Consider the following 5,516-nt stretch of genomic DNA (forward strand, 5'->3'; position numbering starts at 1 on the left):
AGCGGCTGCACTTCCTCTTGCACTTTCACCCCTGGGGGGAGGAGAAGGAGGGGGCGATACCAACAACACCCCCCCTCTCGCTTGCAGAAAAAAAAGAAACGGCGAGCTCAGAGTGGGGGCCCCGGCGTCCCCGGCCTTGCACGTGCGCGCCCGGATGCCTAGCCCGGGCCGCCTGGCGCTGCAAACTTTACACTTTCTTTGTGCCGAGCGCCCCCCCCTCACCAAGACGAGGATGCACGTCCCCCCTTCCCTATTTATACACCCCCCCCCCGCAGTCCGCTCCCCCCGCTTCCTGCCCCCCCTCCCCATTCCCCAGATCCGCCAATGCTAGAGCAGCCTGAGCCCCCGTCCGGCCCCCGCCTCCCCACCCCGCCCGCGGGGCCGGGGGCTGCAGTCTCAGCCCCCCCGGACCAATGCAAACGAAGCGCCGAGCCAGCAAACCAGCTCCCACTGCCCCTCCCCTGCCCGCTGAGAGTGGCGGCTAGCAGGGTGGGGGGGCAGGAACTGAGGGGTGCGGATCCGGGCCCCCCAGCCTGCGAAGCGCACTCGCAGGTCGAGCGGGCGTCGTCCACCCTTCGGAGCCCCGCTTTCATGCGTGAAATTCCCAGAAGTCGCCTGCGACCGCCTCCCTGCTTCAAACACCAGAGAGGGCCCGGGGTCCTGGCCGGAGACAGGCCGAACCTCCGGAGCTGCTTCTGCACCCGGTACATTGATCGATCTGATGGGCTGCGCGCCCGGAAGAGCTGGAGAGATGAAGCCAGCGTCCAGCTTCTCCCCCAAACCACAGCACGCCGAGCTTTGTCCCCGGGGAGCGTGAAGTCACCAGCTCCGGGAGGCGACAATATGAGGGCGATGGACGGGGCAGGGACCCCCGGAAGCCCCAGCAATCCTCAGGGAAGTGGGGGTGCCGGAGGAGTCGGGGACACCCTCAGGCCTCTCCAAGCCCGGAGCATCCCCAGCGCCCGCAGCCCTGTGAGACGCCGGGTGCTCTGGTAATGGGCCCTGCCGCCAGGCCTCGGCGCTTTGTCCCCGGCCCGCCCGGGGATGCTACCACGCTAGAGTTGTACACCAAGGTTTGTCTTCCCAGGAAGCGCTGGCGGCTGCCTTTGGGCCGCCTGGCGCGGAGCCCCAGGCTGCAGGCGCCGCGTGTGCGGGCGGGAAGTTCCCACAGTTGCAAAGAGGCAGCGAAGTATGTGTTCCAAACTTTCCACGGTTCCAAACTGAGCGCTTCCATTAAGAGAAGCGGTGTGCGGGGGAAAAGCATTCTGGGTATTAGCATGCAAATGAACGGGCCCGGCTTCCAACTCCGCTCGGGATTCCCACCGCTGCGCGCCGAGCTCGCGCCCAGCCACGCGCGCCCTGAGGCTTCCGGGCGTTGCCCTGGCGGATGATCCGAGTTCAAAATCGAGACCTCTGCCTTCTGGTTTCGTGTCCTGGTGCTTAGTCACTTGGCCTCCCTGAGATTCAGTTAAACTGTTTCTTAACCTGTGCACAGGGACAGCAGCACCTGTCCTGCACACCTCCGCTCTAGGGCATAGTACATGCCAAACTCCTGTTGGAGAGAATGAATTAGAGGCATGAAGAAAGTTCCCTGGACACGAAGCCAGGAGATCTGTGTTCTAAGCCCAGACTCACTGTCACCTTAGGCTAGTGCCTCCCTCTCTGAGCCACAGCTTTCTTGGGCGGATTTTGGGAACTGGCACGTTTTATTTTTGAGAGAGCTGCTGGGAACATCCACAGAGAAAGAGAAAGGGGCCGGGCGCGGTGGCTCACGCCTGTTATCCCAGCACTTTGGGAGGCTGAGGCGGGCGGATCACCTGAGGTCGGGAGTTCGAGACCAGTCTGACCAACACGGAGAAACCCCATCTCTACTAAAAATACAAAACTAGGCCGGGCGCAGTGGCTCATGCCTGTAATCCCAGCACTTTGGGAGGTCGAGGCAGGCGGATCACCTGAGGTCGGGAGTTCTAGACCAGCCTGACCAACATGGAGAAACCCCGTCTCTACTAAAAATACAAAATTAGCCGGGCGTGGTGGCACATGCCTGTAATCTCAGCTACTAGAGAGGCTGAGGCAGGAGAATCGCTTGAACCTGGGAGGCGGAGGTTGCCGTGAGCCGAGATCGTGCCATTGCACTACAGCCTGGGCAACAAGAGCGAAACTCCGTCTCAAAAAAAAAAAAAATACAAAATTAGCCGGGCGTGGTGGCACATGCCTATAATCCGAGCTACTGGGGAGGCTGAGGCAGGAGAATCACTTGAACCCGGGAGGCGGAGTTGCGGTGAGCCGAGATCGCGCCATTGCACTCTAGCCTGGGCAACAAGAGCAAAACTGTTTCAAAAAAAAAAAAAAGAAGAAGAAAGAAAAGAAAAAGAGGTTTGCTCTGAGTGTCCAGTGTATACACACATCGTTTCTCCATAGTAGGTACAGATATTCCTATTCAACCATTGGAACTGGGGAAGGTGAGTGACCTGCCCAAGGCCACACAGATAGTGATGGAGCCAGGATTCAAACTGGTTAACTGCCCCTTTCTCACCAGTGGCTTCTGAAACCTGTCACCCGTCCATGGCTCCACTTGAACCAGGAACTGACTCTCTGTCTGCTATGCTTAGAAAACAAGGTGCCATGACTGGCCCCATTCCAGCGGATTCACCCGGTGAAGGTGGGTTCAGAAGGTGGTGCTCTGAGGAAAACAGGGAACGTGCATCAGCCCTGTTTTGCAGATAGGAAGCCTGAGGTTCAAGGAGCCAGAGTGGTCCAGGATCCCACCTTGGGGAAGTGGCCAGAGACAGTCCAGACGCCGTTCTGATCCCACCTGGGAGCTTTTTTCCAAATGTCGCCTTGGCAGTGTGATTGTGGGGGTGGGAGTAACCTCTCTACTTCATCCATTACTCTCAGTCTTGCCCATCTCTCAGGCTCCTAGGAATCCATTATGTAACTTAAGGCATGCTTGCAGAACATGTCTTTTTTTTTTTTTTTTAGGTAACATTCAACTGACATAAAATTAACAATTTTAAAATGTATCATTCACTAGCACCTAGTACATTCACAATGTTGTGCAACCAGCACGTCTGTCCAGTTGCAAAACATTTTTATCACCCCAAAAGAAAACTCCGTACACGTTAAGAAGTCACTTTCCATTCCCTTCTCCCTTCATCCCCTGGCAACCACCAATCTGCATTCTGTCTCTATGGATTTACCTATTCTGGATATTTTTTTTATTTATTTATTTTTTGAGACGAAGTCTCTGTCACCCAGGCTGGAGTGCAGTGGCGCGATCTTGGCTCACTGCAATCTCTACCTCCTGGGTTCAAGCGGTTCTCTTGCCTCAGTCTTCCAAGTAGCTGGGATTACAGGCGCATGCCACCGTGCCCGGCTAATTGTTGTATTTTTAGTAGAGATGGGGTTTCGCCATGTTGGCCAGACTGGTCTCGAACTCCTGACCTCAGGTGATTTGTCCACCTCAGCCTCCCAAGGTGCTGGGATTACAGACGTAAGCCACCATGCCCAGCCTGGATATTTTATTTAGTTGGAATTATACAATACTGTATGTGACCTTTTGAGTCTGGCTTGTTTCACTTAACGTAATGTTTTCAAGGTTCATTCATGTTGTAGCATGTATAAATACTTTGTTCCTTTTTATGACTGGCTGAATGATACACCATTGTATGGATATACTACCTTTATCCATTCATCCATTGGTGGCCTTTTGGTTATTATGGATAGTGCAACTATGAACATTTGTGCACAAGTATGTATTTGAGTGCCTATCTTCAGTTCTCTTGGGTGTATACCTAGGAGTGGAATTGCTGGGTCATATGATGGTTCTATGTATAACTTACTGAGGAACCACCAAACTCTTCCACAGTGACTGTACCATTTTGCATTCCTACCACACATGTTTTTATAAATAATTTTAGTGCTGGTCAAACCTCTCATTTTATGAATGAGCATGCTGAGGCCCAGAGAGGTTAAGTAACTTGCCCAGGGTCACACCCTTAGTCAGGATCCAGACTAAAACCAAACTTTCCTGAGTTCCTAGACTTTCAAACACTAAGAGCCTCCCATGTCACCTTTAAAGACCTCGACTACTTGCCCGAGTTTTCATTAATTGACTTAGAAACCTGCCTGGTGAACAACTGAGTTAGCCGTATTTATGAAGCTTTTTTTCTCTCAACATCTATTGAAAGAACCCACCGCCATGTTCCGGATTTCTAGGCCACACCTTGAAAACATGCAGAGCTCACAATCCCTGCATCTGCCTCCTGCTGCTGGCCTGTCGGGCCCTCTTCTGTTGCCATGGAAACCATGCACCTCAGTTTTGGCAGCAGACCAGCTGGACAGCGAACTGAGAATATCCTTGTCTCCTAGGCTAAGCAGAGCTGTCAAGGTCATGTATTCATTAACTAGATTTGTATTTATTGATCACCTACTAAGCACCAGGCTTTTGTTTTGTAAGATGCTAGGGATACAGCAGTGAACAAGCCAGACCACAGATCCTGCCCTCAAGGAACCCGTAGTCTAGAGGAGACAGACAAAAACCAAGGAACAAAAAAGGCTTTACCTGGCTCCTCTCCCTAGTTCACATTCTCCCAACCTTCCAGGCTGTGCTAAAATCCACTTCCCCTGGACCATCCCCGGAAGAGCCCAAATGCAGGTGATAGCTCCTCTCAGGATTTACATTGCATTTTTTGTTGTTACTCCCTGATTGTAAAAGTGCTATGTGCATTGTGGAAAATGTAGGAGATACACAAAAGCACAAAGAAGAAAAATTAAATAAAGATCTGTAATTTCACCACCAAGAGTCGAGCGCTGCCAACATTTCCTTCTGGTCTTTTTCTACATATGTGTATTTCTCTTTAAAAAAAAAAAAAATTATTGGCCGGGCGCAGTGGCTCATGCCTGTAATCCCAGCACTTTGGGAGGCTGAGGCGGGCAGATCACGAGGTCAGGAGATCGAGACCATCCTAACACAGTGAAACCCTGTCTCTACTAAAAAAAAAATTAGCGGGGCATGGTTGCGGGCATCTGTAGTCCCAGCTACTCAGGAGGCTGAGGCAGGAGAATGGCTTGAACCCTGGAGGCAGACATTGTAGTGACCTGAGATCATGCTACTGCACTCCAGCCTAGGCAACAAGAGCGAGACTCCATCTCAAAAACAACAACAACAACAAAAATAATAATAATGACAGGGCACAGTGGCTTATGCCTGTAATCCCAGCACTTTGGGAGGCTGAGGTGGGTGGATCCCAAGGTCAGGAGTTGGAGACCAGCCTGACCAACATGGTGAAACCCTGTCTCTACTAAATATACAAAAATTAGCCAGGCGTGGTGGCATGCACCTGTAATCCCAGCTACTCGGGAGGCTGAGGCAAGAGAATCACTTGAACCTGGGAGGTGGAGGTTGCAGTGAGAGGAGATTGTGCCACTGCACTCCAGCCTGGGCAACAGAGCGAGACACCGTCTCAAAATAATAATAATAATAACAACTTTGTTAAGCACTATCTGTGCCAGCC

General features: G+C 52.3%; 1 long non-coding RNA gene across 1 annotated transcript, besides 2 other annotated features; it reads left to right on the top strand.

Annotated features, from left to right (window-relative positions):
- Nucleotides 166-235: a silencer, noted in NCBI's record as "silent region_13629". NCBI's record gives its function as "represses an Ori minimal core promoter by ATAC-STARR-seq in GM12878 lymphoblastoid cells {active_cell/tissue: GM12878}" and the evidence as "EXISTENCE:reporter gene assay evidence [ECO:0000049][PMID:35858748]".
- Nucleotides 286-505: a silencer, noted in NCBI's record as "silent region_13630". NCBI's record gives its function as "represses an Ori minimal core promoter by ATAC-STARR-seq in GM12878 lymphoblastoid cells {active_cell/tissue: GM12878}" and the evidence as "EXISTENCE:reporter gene assay evidence [ECO:0000049][PMID:35858748]".
- On the top strand, nucleotides 413-4,809 carry LINC01521 (long intergenic non-protein coding RNA 1521). Its single transcript, NR_120386.1, has one exon. It is a non-coding gene; the product is annotated as a long intergenic non-protein coding RNA 1521 (long non-coding RNA).
- Nucleotides 4,810-5,516: the final 707 nt, after the last annotated feature.

Source organism: Homo sapiens, chromosome 22 (assembly GCF_000001405.40).
Source record: "Homo sapiens chromosome 22, GRCh38.p14 Primary Assembly".
NCBI classification, from domain to species: Eukaryota; Metazoa; Chordata; class Mammalia; order Primates; family Hominidae; genus Homo; species Homo sapiens.